The sequence below is a fragment of the Homo sapiens genome, chromosome 9 (assembly GCF_000001405.40).
Source record: "Homo sapiens chromosome 9, GRCh38.p14 Primary Assembly".
NCBI classification, from domain to species: Eukaryota; Metazoa; Chordata; class Mammalia; order Primates; family Hominidae; genus Homo; species Homo sapiens.
In genome coordinates, this window is record NC_000009.12 from 93,286,320 (window position 1) to 93,308,658 (window position 22,339).

Below are 22,339 nucleotides of genomic sequence, written 5' to 3' on the forward strand. Positions count from 1 at the left end.
AGAATGACAGCTCTGTAGAAAAGCAGGCAAGAGACTTGAACAGGTGTGTCCTAAAAGAAGATACCCAGATGGCCAGTGAACACAGGAGAAGGTACTCAATTGAATTAAGTATTATCAGGGAAATGCAAATCAAAACCACACTGAGCTATCACCTCACACCTGTTAAGATCACTGCTCTCAAAAACAAAGGACTGCAAGTATTGGCCAGGATGTGGAGAGAGGGGACCTTTGTGCAGTGTGGTGTGAGTGTAAATTACTACAACCATTATGGAAAACAATGTGGACCTTCCTCAAAAAATTAAAATAGAACTACCGTATGATCCAGCAATCCCACTGCTGGGTATATATTCAAGATAATTGAAAACAAGGTTTGGAAGAAATACCTGCTCTCCTGTGTTCATTGCAGCGTTATTCACAATAGCCAAGATATGGAAACAACCTAAGTGTCTTCACAGATGAATGGATAAAGAAAATGTGATATGTTTGCACAGTGGAGTACTGTTTAACCACAAAAACAAGGAAACTACCATTTGCGACGACATGGATGAACCTACAGGACATTATGCTATATGAAATAAGCCAGGCACAGAAAGACTACACGATTCATTCCTCTCATATGCAGTATCTAAAACAGTCAAAGTCAAAAACAGTCAAAGCAGAGAGCAGAATGGAAGTTGCCAGCAGCTGGAGGGAGAGGGAAACGGAGTTACCATTGAGGGCATAAAGTTTCAGTTATATAAGCTGAGTAAGCTCTAGAGCTTTGCCACACAACATAGTGCCTATAGTTAACAATAGAGTATCATGCTTTTAAAAATGTGTTAAGACAGCAGATCTCATCTTAAATGTTTTTTCCATAATTAAAAAACAATAAAGAGCCACAATAAGACGCCATCACACAGCCCTAGGGGTGCTCAGAGGCTGCCGATGGTGGGGGCATTGGCTCCTGCTTGGGGAAGCACCTTGGCACCCTTACATAAAGCTAAAGGGGATCAGTGACCAGCAGCTCCCCAGTGGCGTGTGCCTGGCAGGACACGGGCCTGCACGCACTGTGCCTCAGTGTTAGTCGTGGTCCCACCCAGCCACAGCCCAGTGAGTACCAACACAGAATGGATGCGTGCATCATGGTGCAGTTGTGCAAACAATAACAAGGACACATCTCACAAACACGGTGAGAGAGGCCAGGCACCACAGAATAGAGTACCATTCCATTGATAGAACGTGCAGCACGACCATCATGTTTAGACAGACGAACGGTAAGGCCGGAAAGGAGCAGTGGAGGAAATTTTGGTCAAATTAGTTTACCTTTGTTGGGCCAGGCAGGGGATGGGGACCAAGGGAGTCTGGGGGCACGAGGGAGGGCATCAGGGTCCTATTAATCTCCCCATTCTCACCTTTTATTTTTTGAACAGTTTTCTTTTTTTGTGTTCATTTTCTTTGTGTTTTTTAAAAAGACAAAGTGGGCTGGGCGTGGGGGCTCACACCTGTCATCCCAACACTTTGGGAGGCTGAGGCCAGCGGATTGCTTGAGCCCAGGAGTACAAGACCAGCCTGGGCAACATGGTGAAACCCAGTCTCATATGAAAAATACAAAAATTATCCAGCTGTGGTCCGAGCTACAAGGAAGGCTGAGGTGGGAGGATTGCTTGAGCCCGGGAGGCAGAGGTTGCAGTGAGGCGAGATTGCACCACTGCACTCCAGCCTGGGTGACAGAGCCAGACCATCTCCAAAAAAAAAGAAAGGTCGGGTTGCATTTTCAAGTAAGGAAAACTGGGCTCCAAGGCCAAGTTTGAGAAACACCGTCCTGCCACCTCTCAGATGCCCGCAGTCCCTGTGAGCCTGGTGGAGGCTCCATGAGCTCCTGCACAAGGCACTGGGAGACTTGGTTATACTGCTGGGGTTCTGGATTCCTCCCACAGGGTCACTGACCAGCCCTGGCTGCGCTTCTGACCATACCAAAGACTGGGGGTCTGAAGGCTTCAGGCTCCTGCTCACTCCTGGGCATGGAAGTGTGTACAGCTCACTACTTAAACTCTTTAATTTTGAAATTTCATTGAATAACTTTTGTCCAGTGCAAGATAGACAAGAGCCGTATCTTTCTGGAGCTGTCTGTGCGGGTGAGGGTGTGGACAGACAGATGACAGACAGGCAACAGCCACAGCTGATGGTCACACGCTACAGAAGACACAGAAGGAAGGGTGGTGCTGGTTCAGCCACAAGGGACACTATGGGAACAGGGACCTGGAGTTGCGAAGCTGGTGGCTCAGAGACCTGTGGGAGGCGTTACAGGAAGCAGCAGCCAAGGCTGGGCTGAGCTGCAGGCAGGCAGGAGCCTGGCGTGTCGGGAAACAGAGAAGACCAGCACGCTGGGGCCATGGCCAGCTGTGTAAGGCATCTTTTTAGCCAAGGAAGAAACAGGTAGATAGGACTGGAGTACCCTGGTACAAAGGCATTTTCCCCATTTCTTCTAGATTCAGCGCCCTATAAAGACCAGCTGTCCTCGAAGGAACAACCCAGCTTTCTAGCCAGTCAGCAGCTCCTGAGCCAGGCGGGCCCCAGCAACCCTCCTGGGGCACCCCCAGCCCCTTTGGCCCCCTCCTCCCCTCCTGTGACTGCTCTGCCCCAAGATGGAGCAGCTCCAGCCACCAGCACCATGCCAGAGCCAGCGTCAGGAACTGCCAGCCAGGCAGGGGGTCCAGGGACACCTCAGGGGCTGACCAGTGAGCTCGAGACGTCTCAGCCACTAGCGGAGACTCACGAGGCCCCGCTTGCTGTGCAGCCCCTCGTGGTGGGCCTAGCACCTTGCACTCCAGCTCCAGAGGCTGCCTCAACCAGGGACGCCAGTGCCCCAAGGGAGCCCCTGCCACCTCCTGCACCTGAGCCCAGCCCCCACAGCGGGACCCCACAGCCCGCCTTGGGTCAACCTGCTCCCCTGCTTCCTGCCGCAGTGGGGGCCGTCAGCCTGGCCACCTCCCAGCTCCCAAGCCCACCCCTGGGGCCCACCGTCCCCCCACAGCCACCCTCGGCCCTGGAGTCGGATGGGGAAGGGCCGCCCCCCAGGGTGGGCTTTGTGGACAGCACCATCAAGAGCCTGGACGAGAAGCTGCGGACTCTGCTCTACCAGGAGCACGTGCCCACCTCCTCAGCCTCAGCTGGGACCCCTGTGGAGGTGGGCGACAGAGACTTCACCCTGGAGCCCCTGAGAGGGGACCAGCCCCGCTCAGAGGTCTGCGGGGGGGACCTGGCCCTGCCCCCAGTGCCTAAGGAGGCGGTCTCAGGGCGTGTCCAGCTGCCCCAGCCCTTGGTGAGTAGCTGCCTTGTCCCAGAGACACTGCCCTGGGTCAGGGGCCGGAGCCCGGGCGCAGGCCCGGGGGTGGGCAGGCATCTTGGCTATGCAGAGCCGCCCTCACTCAGGGCCCGTCCCTCTCTTGGTGACCCACCCACGTGTGTTTGACTCACCCATGCATGTTTTGCAACAAGTGACCCCTGTTTGGGGTCATGCTTGTGCAGCGTCAGGTGACTCAGCCCCATCCATGCACACACAGGGGCTGGGGCAGCCCAGGGGCAGCTTGAGATGAGGGGAGTGGATTTGCAGATACAGCTGTTGAGATGCTGACCTGTGAGTCTCACGGCTCTTCTCTTTTTGTGTTTCTTTCTCCAGGTGGAGAAGTCAGAACTGGCCCCCACTCGAGGGGCCGTGATGGAGCAGGGCACGTCCTCGTCAATGACAGGTAACAGCTTCCTGCTGAACCCTGCGTTCACAAGGTGCTGCCTGGCTTCCTTGCCCCAGAACCTTCTGCATCCGCACCCTCGTCTTTCATCTGTTAAGGCATAAAAGCATTTCTTAAAGATCCTTTTATCTGTAAGGGATCCTTTAGCATCCAGTGTAGGGCCCAGACACAGCAGGAGTCTGTCATGATTTAATTCAAGCTTGTCCAACCTCTGGCCCATGAGCTGCATGTGGCCCAAGACGGCTTTGAATGGGCCCAACACAAATTGTTAAGCTTCTTATGAGCTTTTTTTTTTTTTTCAATTTTTTAAAGCTCATCAGTTATTGTTAGTGTATCTCATGTGTGACCCAAGACAATTCTTCATCTTCCAATGTGGTGCAGGGAAGCCAAAAGACTGGATGCCCCTGACTTAATTAAAACCTACTGAGTTCTAGAAGGAGCCACATGCTAACACTCTAGAGAGATGAAGTCCTCTGGGGAAATGGATAAAGCCCCAGTTGGTGGGTGCTGGGATGTTGCAGGGACACGTCACAGCTCCTGGACTCTCCAGTGGCTGAGGGTCTGCACACGTTCCGGTGGACCCACCCCAGCCCTTGCTTTTCTTCAGCAAGGTTACAAGATGCCCACAAAAACCCAGCCTTACTTCAGCTATAGCAGAGCAGTGCGGTGGGGGGGGCGCTGTGACTGCTGGGAGCGCCAGGTACCAGGGCAATCCCTGAAGACCTGCTGTGGGGCTTTCCCTTGTGGCTCTTGGCTGCCACTGCGTCTCTGTGGAAACACCTTTGCTTTGCTTCTCATTTCATTATCTGCATGCCTCAGTGTCCCTTCTAAGGGAGCCGGACTGATCTTGTGAGGTCTGAGGTTCCTTCTCAGCCCAGGATTTCTTGGGGGATGGGCACACTATGAATCAGGACTCCCCTGAGCCTCCTAACGGAAACCTCAGCGCACATCAGCCGCAGGCGGGACCCCGTAGTCCCAGGCCACATTTATTTCTAGACGCCAGACTTTAAGAGGGGTCGGGGCAGCTGGCTCTGGGGTCAGAAGCTGTGCACGCAGAGAACTGGTGATGTTTAGCCTGAGGAAGATAAGGGACAGGGCAGAAGCAAGAGCATCTTCCCAAAAGGGTGGAAATGAGAGGTTGTGTTGGAGTGCCAGCCCTGACCACGCTGGGCTGCCTGTGGCGCTCCACGGACTCTGACTTCGTGCTCTGAGATGTGTCCGTCCCATGGGCCCCTTTGGCAGATGAGCAAACTGAGCTTCAGTAACTTGCAAATGATATAACTTGTACTCCAAGTCCATACTCTTTCCAGAGTGTGGAACTCATGGGGGAAGCTCCAAGGAGACAGATTCTAGTTTGGCAAAAGTGACCTTTCCTGGAGGTTGGAGCCATTTAGAAGTAGAGAGAGTGCGATTGACAGTGAACCTCCTAGCCCTGAAGGTGGGCATGGAGATATGAGGAGGGGAGTCAGATGTTACATACGGCTTGGGGACACGTGACAGGGACTGGATTGGGGCTCCTTAGGAATCTGATTTGGGTGTTGTTCCCTTGTGAGTTTCCACATGGGGTGTGCAAAGGAGACACGTGTACATGTGCGGGCGGCCCCAACCTCCCCAGAGGCTCCATCCGCTGCTGCCACCTTCCCCACGGCGCATAGGTCTGGCTCATGCCCTGGCCTACCCACGAGTTTCTTTTGTCACATGAGGGTCTCAGCTCAGGCGAGGCCCCCATGTCAGCTTGCTTGGCTTTTCTGGTTGCCTCTTTACGGCAACCCTGGGAAAAGCTAGTCAGAAAGAGCTCCCTAGATGGAGAGCACCGGAATAGCTGCAGGTGCAGTGGGTGACAGTTTTTGAGACACCGTGGGAGCAGGGCTGGAACCCAGCCCCATTGATCTGCGCTGTGGGACCCTCTCACATCAGACGATGGGATGAGACAGGGTGCTGGCCTTCAGGTGCTCAGAGAAGGCCTGGCTGCATGAGGGTGCCCGGGGCTGACGCCTCTTCTCTTGCCCGGGTTTATTGGGCATCTGTCATAGAATGCCGTGGGGCCAAGACATCATGGAGTATTTTTAGTTTCCAAAACTGCTGTTTCCAAAACTGGGAGGAGCACACACAGCTGGCTCCTCCCAGTACCCACTTCCATTGTCCTGCCTGTCTGGAGGCACTCCCATGGGATCACTTTGGGCTGCTTCGGGTCAGCTGTGAGCCATCTCTGCCTCTTCCTCCTCCTTCAGCCCCAGTAACGTTTCTGATGTTCCCATAGCAGAGTCGTCTCCCAGGAGTATGCTAGGCTATGACAGAGATGGAAGGCAGGTGGCCTCAGACTCCCATGTGGTCCCCAGCGTCCCCCAGGTAAGGGCGACTTGACGACCCCCTGGCTGGTTGGCAGGGTTTGCTCTGTGCTGATGTTCACATGAAACCTCTTCATCTCCGCTTGTTTCCCAAGGATGTACCTGCTTTTGTGAGACCTGCACGTGTGGAGCCCACAGACAGGGATGGTGGAGAAGCTGGAGAAAGCTCGGCAGAGCCCCCGCCGAGTGACATGGGCACAGTGGGGGGCCAGGCTAGCCACCCCCAGACACTCGGCGCTCGAGCTTTGGGGTCCCCTCGGAAACGTCCAGAGCAGCAGGATGTCAGCTCACCAGCCAAGACTGTGGGCCGTTTCTCGGTGGTCAGCACTCAGGACGAGTGGACCCTGGCCTCCCCCCACAGCCTGAGATACTCTGCCCCACCCGACGTCTACCTGGACGAGGCCCCCTCCAGCCCCGACGTGAAGCTGGCAGTGCGGCGGGCGCAGACGGCCTCCTCCATCGAGGTCGGCGTGGGCGAGCCCGTGTCCAGCGACTCTGGGGACGAGGGCCCTCGGGCGAGACCCCCGGTGCAGAAGCAGGCGTCCCTGCCCGTGAGTGGCAGCGTGGCTGGCGACTTCGTGAAGAAGGCCACCGCCTTCCTGCAGAGGCCTTCTCGGGCCGGCTCGCTGGGCCCCGAGACACCCAGCAGGGTGGGCATGAAGGTCCCCACGATCAGCGTGACCTCCTTCCATTCCCAGTCGTCCTACATCAGCAGCGACAATGATTCGGAGCTCGAGGATGCTGACATAAAGAAGGAGCTGCAGAGTCTGCGGGAGAAGTAGGTCCTGCGGGCAGGAAGTGTTGCCCCCGCCCCTGGGCCATGGCACCCCTTCCCAGTTGTGAGGGAACCCTGGTGCCGGGGCTGAAGTCCTGGCCAAGCAGCGCCCACTTGGAGCTGCCAAGCAGGGACAGGGGAGTGATGAAGGCTTTTTTTTTTTTTTTTTGAGACAGTCTCGCTCTGTCACCCAGGCTGGAGTGCAGTGGTGCAATCTTCGCTCGCTGCAACCTCCACCTCCCGGGTTCAAGCGATTCTCCTCCCTCAGCCTCCCGAGTAGCTGGGACTACAGGTGCCTGCCACCACGCCCGGTTGATTTTTCTATTTTTAGTAGAGACGGGGTTTCACCATGTTGGCCAGGCTGGTCTCAAACTCCTGACCTGAAGTGATCCACCCGCCTTGGCCTCCCAAAGTTCTGAGATTTCAGGTGTGAGACACCAGGCCCAGCATCCCTGTGGTTTTGAGTAGACAGTCTCCCACTCAGAGTCCTCTGGGCTGGGCCGGCCCCCACCCTGCTGTCTGCTTGGCTTCTGGCTTCTCTGGGTGCCATGCCTCCTCCTGCTGCACTTGGGGGTATGTCTTGGGGGATCACTGAGGCATGTGTCTTCCTCACCCTGTCTGCCTCTCATCTGTCTCCTTCCCTCTTTCTTCCTTTCTCCTTCTCTCTCTCTCTCCCCTTTCATTCCTTCTCTCCCTGTCTCGCTTCCCACCACTCTGTTTCTGGCACACTCTCTCTTCCTATCTGTCTCTCCTTTCTTTGTCTCTGTCTCTGTCTCTCTCTCTCCCACCCTCCTTCTTTCTCTTCCTCTCTCTTTCTCCATGTCTCTTTCCCTCATCCAGCAAATATTTATTCTGTCCTGCTGCGGCTGGGGGGTTACTGGGATGTCCTTCGGGATGGGAGGGCTAACACCAAATTCACCAGTGCCTGAAGGCACGTTTGTAAGTCGTGTCCTGTTGGAAATCACAGGCTTATGTGGGAAGAGCCGTGCACATCTCCTTTCTCTCCTGCGAGCCCTCTCTGCACAGCGTATGCACAGAGGCTAAGAGAGTGTCTGCCCAGGCTGGCGGGGTGGTCAGTGCCATACATTGAGGATATAGTGAGTGTCTCTGTGTTCGTGGAGAACTGAGGAGGGAACTGGAGCTGCTGGGAGAGGCAGGAAGGCAGGGATGGGTGGAATCACTGCTGGTCTTAGAGGCCTCCAGGAAGGTGGCCCCCATTGGCCACATGGCCCAACAGATCCTTGGTGGAGGCCAGAGAGTGGATGGAGCCCAAGGTGGGTATGACCTAGAACCTTTTGGGATAGAGGGCAGCAGATCCTGGGCACATTTGCTCAGCAGGAATGTCATCCTGGGGAGCCAGTGGTCAGGGTCAGCAGGCACAAAGGGGAGCTGAGATGTTGCCAAGCCACACCCCAGCTGTGGCTGCTACGAAGAGAAGCTTGTAGGGGGCAGGAAGGTGTGGATGTGAGAACACTGGGGAGAGGAGCTGCTATAGGCTCTGAGAGCCTGGGTGACAGGGGCCAGGAGCCAGAGACAGAGGGTAGAGATAATGGGGTGGGGACTAGAAATGGCAGAAGTGATTGGGAGCCAGGGGCAGGTGGGGTCTAGGGAAAGGGCAGGGAGAGGACCAGAAGCACCTCAAAGGAGAGACTTCCAGGAGCCTAAGAACAGGAAGTGGATGCTGGGAGGGCCGTGGAGTCCAGAGGGAAGTGTGGGGACCTTTTAGGAAAGGGTGGGGAAGATTTTCAGCCTCAACTGGGAATTGAGGTGACTTGGCATCTGATAGGCAGTAGCCAGCAGCTCCCCAACCTTGCTTTCATTTGAACCCTCTGAATACCGAGGTGCCTGTGCCTCATTGCAGCATTTCTGCCATGAGCGTTGGGGTTTCCTAGGGCTCCAGGAGCCCTGTGCTGAGCCCAGCCTGTGCTTTCAGATGTCCCAGGCCGCGGGGCTCTGTGGTGAGCAGCCCAGGGGCAGCTTGGAGTGGTCCAGGGCACCCCCTGTGTCGGAGCCACATTGCAGTCTGGGACCGCGGGAGCTGGACCATGTGGGTGCGGCCTCGGAGCAGAGTTCCAACCTGGATAAGCTCCAGCCTGGATAAGACGCTCCCCTGCCCACGCAGCCGCTCCCCAACGCTGGGGCAGTCAGCACTCTCTTGAAATAGTACTCCCTTCCAGAAGATCATCTGATGCTCTGTCTCTCTGGTGTTTGTAGGGAGAAAGCCATTCAGAGTTTTATTTTTATTTATTTATTTTGTTTAGTAGTTAGAGGAAGTCATTAAAAAAAAACAAAAAGCCTATGTGGCAGGTGTTGAAATTCAGGAGTAAAATCAGAACTTGCTTCCTCATTTCCGACCTTGAAAACTACCTGTTTTTCTTGCCATCAAAGGAAGAGGAGGGGCACTTGGGGTGAAGGCAAGGGGTTACAGGCCTCCAGCCAGGGCCCCTGGGGTGGCCTTAGGCCTTGCAGAAGCTCAGAGCACTGTGATGCAACAGGGAGGCCCAGCTCCACTCCCCATCCTCTCCTCTCCATCCTCCCGTCACCATCCTCCCCTCACCTTCCTCCCCCACCTTCCTCCCCTCTCTATCCTCCCCTCTCCATCCTCCCTTCACCTTCCTTGTCTCTCCAGCTTCCCCTCACTTTCCTCCCCTCTCCATCCTCAACTCACTTTCCTCCTCTCTCCATCCTCCCCTCACCTTCCTCCCCTCTCCATCCTCAACTCACTTTCCTCCTCTCTCCAACCTCCCCTCACTTTCCTCCCCTCTCCACCCTCAACTCACTTTCCTCCTCTCTCCATCCTCCCCTCACCATCCTCCCTTCACCTTCCTTCCCTCTCCATTCTCCCCTCACCTTCCTCCCCTCTCCATCATCCCCTCCATCCTCCCCTCACCTTCCTCCCCCTCTATCCTCCCCTCACCTTCCTCCCCCTCTATCCTCCCCTCACCTTCCTCCCCTCTCCATTGTCCCCTCTCCTTCCTCCCCTCACCACCCTCCCCTCACCATCCTCCCCTCACCACCCTCCCCTCACCATCCTTCCCTCACCTTCCTCCCCTTTCCATCCTCCCCTCACCTTCCTCCCCTCTCCATCGTCCCCTCCATCCTCCCCTCACCTTCCTCCCCTCACCTTCCTCCCCCTCCATCTTCCCCTCTCCTTCCTCCCCTCACCACCCTCCCTTAACCATCCTCCCCTCACCATCCTCCCCTCACCTTCCTCCCCCTCCATCCTCCCCTCACCTTCCTCCCCCTCCATCCTCCCCTCACCTTCCTCCTTCTCCATCCTCCCCTTACCTTCCTCCTTCTTCATCCTTCCTTCTCCCTCCTCCCCCTCCATCCTCCCCTCACCTTCCTCCCCTTGGCCTCCTCCCCTCTCCATGCTCCCCTCTCCATCCTCCCCTTACCTTCTTCCCCCTTCATCCTCCTTTCTCCATCATTCCCTCTCCATCCTCCCCTCACCTTCCTTCCCTTCCATCCTCCCCTCACCTTTCTCCCCTGCCCATCCTCCCCTCATCCTCCTCCCCTCTCCATTCTCCCCTCACCTTCCTCCCTCTCTATCCTCCCCTCACTTTCCTCCTCCTCCTCCATCCTCCCTTCTCCATCCTCCCCTCACCTTCCTCCCCCTCCATCCTTCCCTCACCTTTCTCTCCTCTCCATTCTCCCCTCATCTTCCTCCCCCTCCATCCTTCCTTCACCTTCCTCCCCTCCGCACCCTCCCCTCCGCATCCTCCCTTCAGCCTACTCCCCTCCCCATTCTACCTCCCTCGACCTTCCTCCCCTCTGTTTCCTCCCCTCTGCATCCCCTCGGCCTCCTCCCCTTGGCTTCCTCCCCTCCGCATCCTCCCCTCCCCATCCACCCCTCAGCATCCTCCTTTCACCTTCCTCCCCTCCGCATCTTCCCCTCCACATCCTCTTCTCGGCTTCCTCCCCTCGGCTTCCTCCCCTTGGCGTCCTCCCCTCGGCGTCCTCCCCTCGGCGTCATCCCCTCCCCATCCTCCCCTTCCCATCCTCCCCTCCACATTCTCCTCTCTGCATCCACCCCTCCGCATCCTCCCCTTTGCATCCTCCCCTGGGCATCCTCCTCTTGCCTCGGCAGTTCTAGACTCTGCCCTTGCCCATGGTCAATGAGCCACCTGCATTTCACCTGCGGGGTGATGTGGGACCTGTGGCAGTGGGCTCACATATGGTGTGGCATGGCCCCTGGAAGTCAGTGAGCGTCTCGCTGACTTCTTCATGCCGTGTTGCATTGGTCTGAGCTGCCTTCCACTGTCTGTTTCCCCTGTGGAGGAAATAACACACATTTGCCTGATAAATGGAGGCAGTCTCTAGTGCCTGGCACCTGCTGATTTCCCTTCACCTGTGTTCATGTTTGGGACTTTCATTGCAAGTATCAATGTAAGCATTCCGAGTCTGGGTATTTGGAAGTTTGAGGCTTCTTAGCCTGGCCCGTGCTGTTGGGCACGTCGATGCCAGAGGCCCACTACCTTGGGACCTCCCCGTTTAGATATGAACAAACAGTGTCATTTTACAGCCCCTGTGTGCCGCTTTAGAGTGGCCCAGGCCAAGGCACAGGCAGGGTGCCCACCCTTCATCCCATGTTCTCCCACGCCACCTCCCTCCTGGAGGAGCTGGCGGTGTTGGAAACACCGAGGAAGCCCATCGGCGCTCCCTCCTGTCCCCTCCTGCAGGCACCTGAAGGAGATCTCGGAGCTGCAGAGCCAGCAGAAGCAGGAGATCGAAGCTCTGTACCGCCGCCTGGGCAAGCCACTGCCCCCCAACGTGGGCTTCTTCCACACGGCACCCCCCACTGGCCGCCGGAGAAAAACCAGCAAGAGCAAGCTGAAGGCAGGCAAGCTGCTAAATCCCCTGGTGCGGCAGCTCAAGGTCGTGGCCTCCAGCACAGGTCGGCCTCCGGGTGCAGGGCTGGGATGGGAGCGGGGCTGGGGACCCCCGAGTGAGCCTGGGAGGTAGGCTCCGTGCAGGTGTGACACCCTCGGACCTGGAAGACCACTCGGGGTTATCTCCTTACTGAATCTCCTTTCCCTGGAGCAGGGGAGTCATTGCAGCATGAAGGCAGCCCTGGTCCTCCGTCCTCATGCAGAGAGGCAAGGCCCGTGAGTGGGCAGGGGCTGCTCAGCGTTGGGCCTGAGACTCTAGGCTGTGGGCTGTGCCAGGGAAGCTCAGGCTGCCCTCCCTCACCTGCTCCTCTGCAGGGCACTGCGTGGACGGATGGTGGCTGCTTCCTTTGACCCATTTCTTGGGTGTGTGCCAGCCGAGCAGCTGTCGTTAGGGGCTGGGGGAGGACGGGAGGACGGTGATGATCTCCCAGTCTTGTTAAAGGTGACACCTAGTCATTGAGTGGCACTGGCCTGGCCCCAGGCAGCCACCAGCCCACGTCCCTGCATGTCAGGGCTTCCTGAGGCCTCCTGAGCAGCACTGCAGCCTGCTTGCTGGTGGAGAGCCCTGGCAGTCTGGGATGGAGCCCCTGTGAGCCCAAGTCCCCAAGCATGCCAGGCAAGCCACCATAAGCTCACTATAAGCCCACAACCTTCAGGGCACACAGCCATGAATTATACCCATTACACGAATTCAGAGACAGTTCCCAGAGCTAAGGGAAGACTGAGATGAGAAGTACACAGGCCACTGTGTGCCTGGGTGTGTCTTCTGTCACTATATTTGCTCAACACAAGTCCAGCACGGCAGTGGGGGCTGGTAGAGACTGGGCACTTTCTTTGCTCTTCCCCATCACTCCTCTGTGGGAGATGTGGCCATGTGCCTGTGGTCTGCAGGAGACGTGAGCTTCCCCAAGGTCACCCAGCAATAAGCAGGCAGAACAGACTCAATCCACACGGCCCCGACCCGGCGGCGCCTCATCGTGCCTGTCGCCTCTTCTCCCCCCGCCCAGGTCACTTGGCTGACTCCAGCAGAGGCCCTCCCGCTAAGGACCCTGCCCAAGCCAGTGTGGGGCTCACTGCAGACAGCACGGGCCTGAGCGGGAAGGCAGTGCAGACCCAGCAGCCCTGCTCCGTCCGGGCCTCCCTGTCTTCGGACATCTGCTCCGGCTTAGCCAGTGATGGAGGCGGAGCGCGTGGCCAAGGTGATTTCCAGCTTGCCTGTCTCCGAGCATGTGCTAGCCACGTAGGGCCTCAGTGGTGTCCCCAGGAGCACGCCCGTGTTGTGTAGAGGGGTTGCAAGCTGTGGCAAAGGCTGTTGAGAGGCTTCTTTTAAAAAGGATAAAAAAAAAAAGGTGTAGTCTTTGGATGAAAGGAATGGAATTGTCCCATCCACCACCAAGTCTTGCTTGTAAGCAGCTCAGGGGGAGGTGATGCTTTGCTAGAGTGGACCTTGGGGAAGTGGCTAGGACTGGGGAGGGCAGGGGACCTGGCATCCGGCTGTGTGCTCCGGCGCCAGTTCCCAGGCACTGGCTGCCCCACCCCCACCCCCACAGCGGAGCCAGATGGTGCTAAACACCGGGTCCTTCCAAAGTCCAGAGGGACGGCTGGGGGGACGAGGGCACAGCTTTCGAGCTGGGAGTTTGGCCTTGAGGAGGAAATTCTCTCGTCAACGCTGCGTGGACAGCAGCAGCTGCTCAATAAGGTGCTCTCCTGTCCTCACCATCTCTGTCCAGAGAAATCATGGTGACCATGAAGCCGCCCCGCCCCGCCCACCCCACCCTGCCCGCCCCTCTCCGGGCTGCTTCTCTTCTGCTCTCCCGCTGCCTCCTTCCCATTACATGGTCAGTGGCTTTGGTGCTCCGGGCTGGGCTAGATGGAGCCGTGGATGTTAAGTGACGAGGCTGGTGTGGCTGTTGGTGTGGAGGAGGAATCGCAGCAACCTGTACTTGATGAGTGTCTCTTTGTTTTCTTCCCTTTATATTCATTTGCAGGCTGGACGGTTTACCACCCAACGTCTGAGAGAGTGACCTATAAGTCTAGTAGCAAACCTCGTGCTCGATTCCTCAGTGGACCCGTATCTGTGTCCATCTGTCTGTATTTGTTCTTTTGTATTTTATCACCTCCTGGCCCTTGGTTTTCTCCCCCCACCCCCTCCCTGTCTTCATTACCTTTCATACATTTCATAGGATGCCTCCCCCACCCCATCGAAGTCACCTATTTAATATCAAAGTGGAACCCCATGAGCCGGTCCCCTGGAGCGGCGGCCGCCAGCGCCTACCCCCAAGCCCCACACAGCGTGTGTGCATGCTCATGGCTGGTGCCTGGGCACGGAAAGCATGTGCAGCGGCTGGCCTGCCTTCCGCCCCGGGCACCTCTGCCCAGAAGGACTGGAGCCCTTTGCATTCTTTTCGTCACCTCATTTATTTAATTTTTTTTTTTATGTTGGATGTAGTTTTTTTTTCTGTTGCAATTGTGGCAAATATACATGTCCGCTGTCCCCAGTTCCAGCGACAACAAAAAGACAACCCCAACCTCCTCCAGATGCACAGTGTGTGTCACGCGTGTCTGGACTGTGAAGACATGCACATAGCGAGCCTATACGGTTCTAAAGGTCACTGGAGGGCGTGGTTTCTGTACCAGGGCCAAATCCCAGCACCCAGTACCCTGCACACCCACCGCCCTGTGCCCTGCATGTGGAAATGCTGAGAGAACGTGCTCCAGTTCGGGCCTCCCCAGCCCCTCCCCACTGGAAGGGCAGGTCTGGTCCCCTTTGTCATTGCTCCTCACCCACTGCTGTCTCCAACCCCAAATAGGAGAGTGACGGCCACCTGGGCAGCTCTTCTTTGGAGCATGCATCCTGCTTGGCCGGCTCCTCCTCCTCCTCCAGCCAGTGGGAGCACTTTACTTGCTGTATTTTCCTGTGACCTCCCATGACCGCAGGGATGAAGTCAATGACGCAGTTCCTCCAATTGCTACTAAGCCAAAACCCAGTCCCAGCCTTGCTCAGATCCCCTGGAACACAGTTAGTGCCCAGGAACTCCATCTCCAGGGAAGGCTCTGCCTGCTTGGGGCCATCCCAAAGCACGCAGTTTGTTTTTAACCCTCAGGACGATCGGCCAGTGAACCAAAAGCTGTGAGATTTTTAGGCTTTTGTCTTTTTAACAGGAAAATTAAGCTTTTTCAACAATTGGATTGGATATGCTGGTTTGGGGCACGTGACTTTTTGCTTGTACAATAAAGATACATTGTGCTTGTTGGGAGCCAGAGGCCATGCCTGTGGGAGGCGTCCACTGCCATCCACCCACCCCATCAGAGGTCCATGTGGGTCATCATTCTCCGGGCAGGCAATTCGAGGACACAAGGGCCATGTAGGAATGCCAGGGCCTTCCCAGGGCTTCCCGTTCGCCTGTTTAACAGGCTGCCCTGTTTCGGCCACCATGTCATCTGGGCTGTTGGTCTGGGGGTCTGGGTGGCCTGGTGTCTGGTGAGTTGCTGAGTTGAATCTGGGGAGGAGTGGGCGCCTTCCCCCCCACCCCTGCGTCTCTGGGTCCTCTTATGGCAGCCGGCTGTGGTTCCTTCTCCGCAGCCGGTTCCCGGCCCTGCTGGCCTTGTGCCTCACTTGCTGCTCCTCTTCCGGCTCCTGCATGTGCGGCTCGATCTGGGGCTGTCACTGGGGGCGAGGGCACCTGGGAGACTCAGTGCAGGGTGTTAGTGTCAGGTATGGCGCCTACCCAGGCCCCACTTCCACCCCCATGCTGTGTTTTGTGGTATTGCTTGTTTTCACGGCTTAGCCCCCATCAGGCAAGTCTTAGTCTTAGTCTTTTTGGGCCATAATGTCTCCCCCAGTTCCCCCACACTCTGAAGTTGCTGGCCGGGGAGAGCCCAGGTGGGCCTCTGCCCTGGGCGCCTCTCAAGCCCTGTCTGGATCAGCTCCAGGCCTCCGAAGTCTCTGCCACTCTCCTGGGATGTGGCTGGGACTGGCCCCTCCTGCCTCTGTGCCCCTGGGCTGTGGAGGCTGGACTTCTTGTTGAGCCATCCACTGGCACATCTGCTGCTCATGGGTAAACCCCCAGGGCAGCCCAAAAGAGAAGGGAGAGCTGTGGGGTCTGTGAGGAGACCAAGCACCTCCAGGGGAAAGACTGCAGGGGTGGGCGCAGCCCTGTGAGCGCTGAGAGGCTGAGGACTTGGGCGGAAGCTGTGGGATTGCGCCAGGCTTGGAGGCCAGGAGGGAGGGTTGCAGGCAGGGGTAGTGTGAGCAGATGGGCTAGGAAGACGCTGAGGTCGGTGTATGGAAGACACCGAGGGGTCGGGGGTCGCGCTGCAAGTAGAGGAGGAGCAGGGTGGATGCCAAGGTGCGGCTAGTGGGGGGCAGCCGGCGCAGCCAGCCCAGCCTTTGCTCCCTAGGGCCTGGGGAGAGCTTTCAGCTCACTGCCCTGGTGTGGGGCACTCCCACTTCCTGGAAGAGAAACAGTTCCAGGAAAACAAAATGTGTTAAATTTTGAAATATAGAAGGATCCTGGCCTCTGTGAAGGTCAGAGAAGATGAAACGGCCCCAGGCAGGGTGGGTTGAGGCCAGGCCAGAGGATGGGCTGCGGGTGCCCAGGTGGCTGTGCCCAGGGATAGAGCAGGGCAGTGCAGCAGGCACCTCCAGAGGCCCGAGCTGACTCAAGGTGCAGGACAGGGAATAAAGCAGTGGAGGCTGGGAGCAGCAGGTGGACAGACCCCTAGGGAGTGCAAGGCCCTGCTTAGAACCCCTGTGAGCTGGGCCCCTTGGCATAGACTTCTCACCCAGCTTGCAGATGCCCCCTTGTGGTCAGCAGTTGCTGTGGGGAGCTCACATGACCCAGTGCCCCAGAGCAGTCTCCCTTTTTTTTTTTGAGACAAAGTCTGGCTCTGTTACCCAGACTGGAGTGCAGCGGCAAGATCTCAGCTCACTGCAACCTCCGCTTCCCTGACTCAAGCAATCTTCCCACCTCAGCCTCCCAAGTAGCTGGGACCACAGGTCTGCACCACCACACCCAGCTACTTTTTTGTATTTTTAGTAGAGACAGGGTCTCACCATGTTGCCTAGGCTGGTCTAGACCTCCTGGGCTCAAGCAGTCCACCCACGTTGGCCTCCCAAAGTGCTGGGATTACAGGTGGGAGCCACCACACCTGGCCCAGTGCATTCTAAGGGATGTTGGCCTTGGAGCCAGGGAGGAGGGTCAGGTGCAGATGCTGAGATGGCACCTCTGGTCGTGGTTCTGTTGGTTCTGCTTGTCAGAAGCTGGGGTCCTTCTGGATCTTCCCACCTGACCGGGCATGTTCTGGCACCCTGTGGGCCTTTCTCTCTGCACGCTGGTATCTCTTTGGGTTTTCTCCACATTGGCTGTTGGCTGCAGCATGTTTGGCTCAGGGACCCTCCGGTGTCACTGCACGATGCCTTCTAGGCCTTCTCCCACCGTGGAATGCTTTCATCCCTCCCGGTGGGGAGAGAGTGCATGCTCAGCGAGGCTCTTTGCAGCAGGTGTTCAGGAGGCCTCGGGGTGGAGGGCATCCAGAGAGGAGGGCCCCCACCCTGCACTGCGCCCACCAGGCCCTGACCTCTGCAGCCAGGGTGGTCAGTGCTGCGTACCACTGTGGGCTGTCTGTGGAGCAGGCCTGTGTGCAATGGGGCCTAGTGCAATGTGGGGTCATTTAGCTCAAGGCAACATGAAAACAGCCCCAGGTCTCCCTGGGCAGAGCCAAGGCAGATCCTGCTTCCCAATGCATGCTTTGTGGACAGTTTTTGGCTCAAGAACATGGTTGTTCAATACGTAGACACCTTAAAAGGGGTTTTGTCCCTGGATGCCCATTTTTCTCCTGTGCCAGAAAAGGGAGCCAGTGCTGACCATGGCGGGGGCTGACCCACCTGAGGGTGCGCGGGAAGTTGTGGGGGACTGAGGTGAAGCCGCCAGGGCACCCATGATGGGAGGTGGGCTGCCCCAGCTGTCCCGTGGGCTCCTGGGCAGTATTGAGCCCTGTGAGGTGAAAAGCGAATGTGGGGATTGCTCAGGGGCTGACCACTTTTTAGTCCCCCTGTCCCAGGCACACACCCTCAGTTTGAATCCTTCTTGGTTGAGATGTCTTCTTGGCCACAGGCTGAGGGTCTGGATGGGGCAGGTGCTCGGGCTACCCAGAGGGCAGGGCCGTTGACCCAAGAGCAGGCTGTTTTTGTGCCATGGCTGGAGTGGGGAGGGAGCCTCCACTTGCGCCTGGGGGGCTTCAGCTGATGTCGGCTGCACAAAAGCAGGAGATGCCAAGTCCAAGAGCCGGCCCTCCTGTCGTCCTGTGTGCTGCCACTTTTACATTCTGGGAAGAAAGCAGCGGATCCCCCAACAGCTGGGATGAGGCTGCCAAGCCCCCGCCCCAGCACCACTGAGCAGTCCAGGGCCTTGGCGCCGCCTCTTCCTGGGCCTGGCTGGGGATGGAAGCCCCACAGGGAGACCGAGGTGGGCCTGGCGTCAATTGGCAGCCTCCTGAAAGTTTCCTTTGTTCTCCCGTTGCTGCCTTATGGACAGGAGGTGGGGGTGCTTTTCCTGGCACAGAGCGAGTGGCAGGGGGCCAGGTGGGGGCTGTCTTTGGGTGCCATCTGCATGGTGGGCAAGTGAGGGGCAGGGCCCAATCGAGGCCGAGGCTCTGGAGAGGTGGACTAAGGAGCCACCTAAGGACGGGCAGGGCTGTCCAGAGTGTGGGGAGGTCTCTGCCCCAGCCCAGTTGTCTGCAGTGAGTGGCGTCCGACAGCATGGCCTTGAAAGACTGGCACCCATCAGTTTGTCTGGAGGTCTAGGAGCCGTCTGCACACTGGTCACTGGGGCCCAAGTTTAGGAGGGGCCCAAGTTTAGGAAGGGCCCGTGGAGGCCTCCGTGGGCCAGGGTTGCTCCCTGGCTCTGAGCAGGTGCCGTGTCCTCCAGACACTCCAGACCCCAGGTTCCCAGGACAGTGAGTGAGTCCCAGCTCTGATCGCAGGTCCAGGCTCCCTCTGGTGGTTCCCAGCCGGCAGCCGGCCTGTTTGATGGTGTTCTTCCCAGCATGGCAACAGCCAGGAATTAGCACTGAATGTAGAGTTCCAGCCACACCAAGAGCTGCCAGATAGACACAGAGCAGCTTTTTGAAGCACCTGGCTTAGGACTGTCTACATGGGACCATGGGCCACAGCCCCCGACAAAGCCTGCCAGGGAAATTGGTGCTCACCCAGTGCCCCTACATATTGGATCCTAGCCTAGCCTGCATCACAGACTTCAGGGGCCCCTCCTGCACTACAGAAAACCAGCCATACCTCCCCTGTAAACTTGAGTGAGCCATTGAGGGGATATCAGCTCTGTGTTCCTGGCAGGGTTTCATCTCAGAACAGAGCAGCCAGGGAACAGCCCTTCGGAGCTGCTCACCCAGAGCCCACTGGTCTGGATCCCTCCCGCTGGGCTCCCTCCTTTTTATTAGAACAGTAAAGTCTGCAACAGAACACCACCTCACCTTTCCCCACACTAGCTCAGGAACAGACAGAATGGACTAAAAATAGTTGAGCTAGGTTTCCAAGTCCAGGATGCACAACTCAGGCCGAGCTTGGGCCAAGGAGCTGGACGACAAGTTGCCCGCTGTCCCCCGAGGCAGGAGGCATGAGCCCTTCTGGAGAAGGAAGGCAGACGTTGCCAGGTTTTCTGAGTCCCTGCAAGATCAGAGTCGCTCCTTTTTAGGTCTCCCGGGAACAGCGCTGAGGAGCGTGTTCCTGCTGCGGAGGGAGTGTGCTCCTGGCAAGGGGCCGTGGGCTGGAGTGTAGACAGAGCCTCTGTGCTAGTGAGGCTTTGCCGAGTGACCTTGGGGAAGTCTGAGCCTGTGCTTGCCCGTCCCAGCTCTGCCTGCCTATAGGATAAGCAGGGATGGCCGTGCCTTCCGGCCCAGCCTGCCCTGGGGACCTTGTCCCCACCAGGCTGGGCACTGACTGGCTAGGACATTGCATTCAGTGTATACCAGGTGCCCTCTGGGTAGTTGGGACCAGTCGGTTTAGTGGTGGTCCCAGTTAGAAGGAGGCCAGAAATGTTCCAGGCTGAGGCCTTGCCCTACCCCTTGTGGATACTGACTTGTTAATGAGGCGGTAGTGTCCCCAGACATTGAGGTCAGCCCCTAGATAGAAACCCTCGAGTCCCCTACTCAACACTTGCCGCTGACCTCATCTGAGGCAGCCATCTGAGATCCAGACTTGGCCTCCAACCTGCAAAACAATGTATCTTTTTGCACTTGGAAAACCTCCGATGGGCTTCGGCGGCCAAGCCCAGCTGTGCCCAGCTCCATTCCAGAGCTCCCGTGGCCGACTCAGCAGGGTGTCCTGCCTCCATCAGTGGGGCTCCCAGAAGCCTGATGTTTGAAAGCCAAGCGGTGTGCTTTGCTTTTTTCTTTTTTCTTTTCTTTTTTCTTTCTCTTTTACTTTTCTTAGAATATGCTTCTAGAGACAAACACTTCTCCCTGAAGCTTAGGGGCTTGGCCCTGGCACCTCTGCCCCCTCGGCGAAGCTCGTGGGAGCCTGCACCCTCTCTCCAGGGGCTGCCCCGTTTCCCCCGGCCGGGTCGGCCCTCTCTCTGAACTGCTGCCTGTGTCTGCCCCTCCCTGCACACTGACGACTTTTGCTTAGTGTGGTAGCGTGTCCCAGTGTGTGCTGTTCTGCCTAACCCTGTGGTCTTGTGTCGTTTCTTTTTCCCTTGCAGGGTCTGCCCTGAAGCGTCTCTGCCTAGGCAAAGAACACAGCAGTAGTAATTATCCGGGTTTTTTCCCCTTTGTCCTCTCTCATCGCATGGGCTTTCTCGTGGCTAGCGCACATCAGGGTTCCCGCGGCCGGGCGGGCGTGGGCCTGCCCTGTGCCTGCCCCGCGCCTGCTCCATGCCTCTCGGCCGGGCACTGCTTCGCTTCTGCCTGGCGGGATCGCTGTCCTCGGCTCCCCCGTGTGTCTCGTGGCGCCTAGAGTTTGTGCGGTCTCGCCAGTTCACATCTAACGGGCTTATCCTTCCCCGGAACACCCGCAAATTGCCGATCATTAATTGGCTCCTTTTCCAAAACCGTAGGAATGAGTATTTCCTTGAAGTCCTAAAGATGAGTGCCTCCCCACGAGGAGAGATGCCAGGACTGAGTGGGTATTAGTCTCCTTGGGCCACTCACCTCTCTCTCTCTCTCATCTCTCTCTCTCGAAAAAATATTTTTTTTCTTTTCTGGCTGAACTTTTCATGTAGGAATAGCTCCATGTGTGTCAAATCTCATCACTAATTTTTAATTGTCTGTGTCTGTGCTTTTTCATTGCTAGCCACTAAAGTCCACTACATTTTGGGACAGCTTGTTTGAAGAGATGGTCATTAGATTGTTTCTCTATGCAGAAAATTTTTGAATTGGCTTATTCAAAATTGCCAACGAGAAATTACATGTGTTGCCTGGAAAGGGTATGATTTAAAATTTTTAAAGTCTCATTTTAGTCCCTTAAAAAACACTTTGAATGAAGCAGCCGAGTGCTCTGGTGTGCTAATGGTCAGCAGAGCGGCTCCCAGCTCCCTCCTGCAGCAGGGCGTTTGGCCGCAGCCCATGGCAGGAGCTGGTGGGGCCGCGTCAGGCAGCCCCAGGCATGGGTACCCTTTATGAATACCTTCCTCGAATGCGAATGCGCTGGTCAGGACAATTTCTATGTCTGGAATTCCAAACAACCAGACCATTAAAATTCATGGGAATGCAAGTCAGGCAGCCCTGGCAGGCATTTTCCCGTGGGCCAGGGGGCTGCCTGCAGGCCAGCCCGCCGTGTGTGCTGAGCGCTCTGCACACGGTACTCCACCGCCCCGCGTCCTCATGTTACGGCTGAGGATGCACAGGCCAGAGAGAGCCCGAGGAACCTGACTCTAGGCACCATGACTCCGAAGCCCAGTGTGTCTGGCTGTGCCAGGAGTTTCCTGAGCTCTCTCACACGTGAGTCTGGGGATGGGCAGCGGTGGGCACAGAGTGGATGCTGAGCAGAGGCTGCCGGCTGCTGCAGAGTCCTGTCCCCTGGCCTGGCTTCTGAGGTGGGTGATGGCCACCTGGCACAGCCCATGGAAATGCCCCACCATGTCTGACCCTGGGCAGCCAGGCCCCTTAATCCGACCGCCTCTTGAAGCAAGGTGCTGCCTGGCCCAAGTGAGACCATTGTCTCAGCTGTCACGTAAGAATGAATGCGGCCAGCCCACTGGGGGCCTGGGTGCGTGTGTGGCGTCACCAATCCTGGCCTGTGTGTGACTCCCCAGGGTCCTCCACCAGCAGCCTGGCCCCAGGCCCTGAGCCAGGCCCCCAGCCCGCCCTGCACGTCCAGGCGCAGGTGAACAACAGCAACAACAAGAAGGGTACCTTCACGGACGACCTGCACAAGCTGGTGGACGAGTGGACGAGCAAGACGGTGGGGGCCGCGCAGCTGAAGCCCACGCTCAACCAGCTGAAGCAGACCCAGAAGCTGCAAGACATGGAGGCCCAGGCAGGCTGGGCTGCCCCTGGCGAGGCGCGGGCTGTGAGTGCGGGGCGGGTGGGGCGGGTGCTCCTGGGGTGGGGTAGCCTTGCCTCCAGCATTTGCTAGTGCCCTGT

General features: G+C 57.3%; 1 protein-coding gene across 51 annotated transcripts in view, besides 4 other annotated features; it reads left to right on the plus strand.

Annotated features, from left to right (window-relative positions):
- WNK2 (WNK lysine deficient protein kinase 2) overlaps positions 1 to 22,339 on the plus strand; it is a 136,431-nt gene that overhangs the window by 102,181 nt on the left and 11,911 nt on the right. For 6 of the 51 annotated variants that reach the window (NM_006648.4, NM_001282394.3, XM_005252137.4 and 3 more), the window contains 9 exons: positions 2,469 to 3,301; positions 3,659 to 3,728; positions 5,989 to 6,077; positions 6,172 to 6,854; positions 11,534 to 11,748; positions 12,751 to 12,942; positions 13,732 to 13,830; positions 20,458 to 20,502; positions 22,009 to 22,265. In NM_006648.4, the coding sequence (NP_006639.3) occupies positions 2,469 to 3,301; positions 3,659 to 3,728; positions 5,989 to 6,077; positions 6,172 to 6,854; positions 11,534 to 11,748; positions 12,751 to 12,942; positions 13,732 to 13,830; positions 20,458 to 20,502; positions 22,009 to 22,265 (2,483 nt within the window). The remainder of the gene's footprint in view (positions 1 to 2,468; positions 3,302 to 3,658; positions 3,729 to 5,988; positions 6,078 to 6,171; positions 6,855 to 11,533; positions 11,749 to 12,750; positions 12,943 to 13,731; positions 13,831 to 20,457; positions 20,503 to 22,008; positions 22,266 to 22,339) is intronic. The other 45 variants (XM_047423752.1, XM_047423743.1, XM_047423750.1 and 42 more) reach the window with 19 other exon arrangements.
- Positions 2,331 to 3,127: an enhancer, noted in NCBI's record as "H3K27ac-H3K4me1 hESC enhancer chr9:96050932-96051728 (GRCh37/hg19 assembly coordinates)". NCBI's record gives its function as "activates a minimal SCP1, AML or CMV promoter by ChIP-STARR-seq in naive H9 embryonic stem cells {active_cell/tissue: H9 hESC(naive)}" and the evidence as "EXISTENCE:reporter gene assay evidence [ECO:0000049][PMID:30033119]".
- Positions 12,433 to 12,933: an enhancer, noted in NCBI's record as "H3K4me1 hESC enhancer chr9:96061034-96061534 (GRCh37/hg19 assembly coordinates)". NCBI's record gives its function as "activates a minimal SCP1, AML or CMV promoter by ChIP-STARR-seq in naive H9 embryonic stem cells {active_cell/tissue: H9 hESC(naive)}" and the evidence as "EXISTENCE:reporter gene assay evidence [ECO:0000049][PMID:30033119]".
- Positions 14,882 to 15,794: an enhancer, noted in NCBI's record as "H3K4me1 hESC enhancer chr9:96063483-96064395 (GRCh37/hg19 assembly coordinates)". NCBI's record gives its function as "activates a minimal SCP1, AML or CMV promoter by ChIP-STARR-seq in primed H9 embryonic stem cells {active_cell/tissue: H9 hESC(primed)}" and the evidence as "EXISTENCE:reporter gene assay evidence [ECO:0000049][PMID:30033119]".
- Positions 20,050 to 20,954: an enhancer, noted in NCBI's record as "H3K4me1 hESC enhancer chr9:96068651-96069555 (GRCh37/hg19 assembly coordinates)". NCBI's record gives its function as "activates a minimal SCP1, AML or CMV promoter by ChIP-STARR-seq in naive H9 embryonic stem cells {active_cell/tissue: H9 hESC(naive)}" and the evidence as "EXISTENCE:reporter gene assay evidence [ECO:0000049][PMID:30033119]".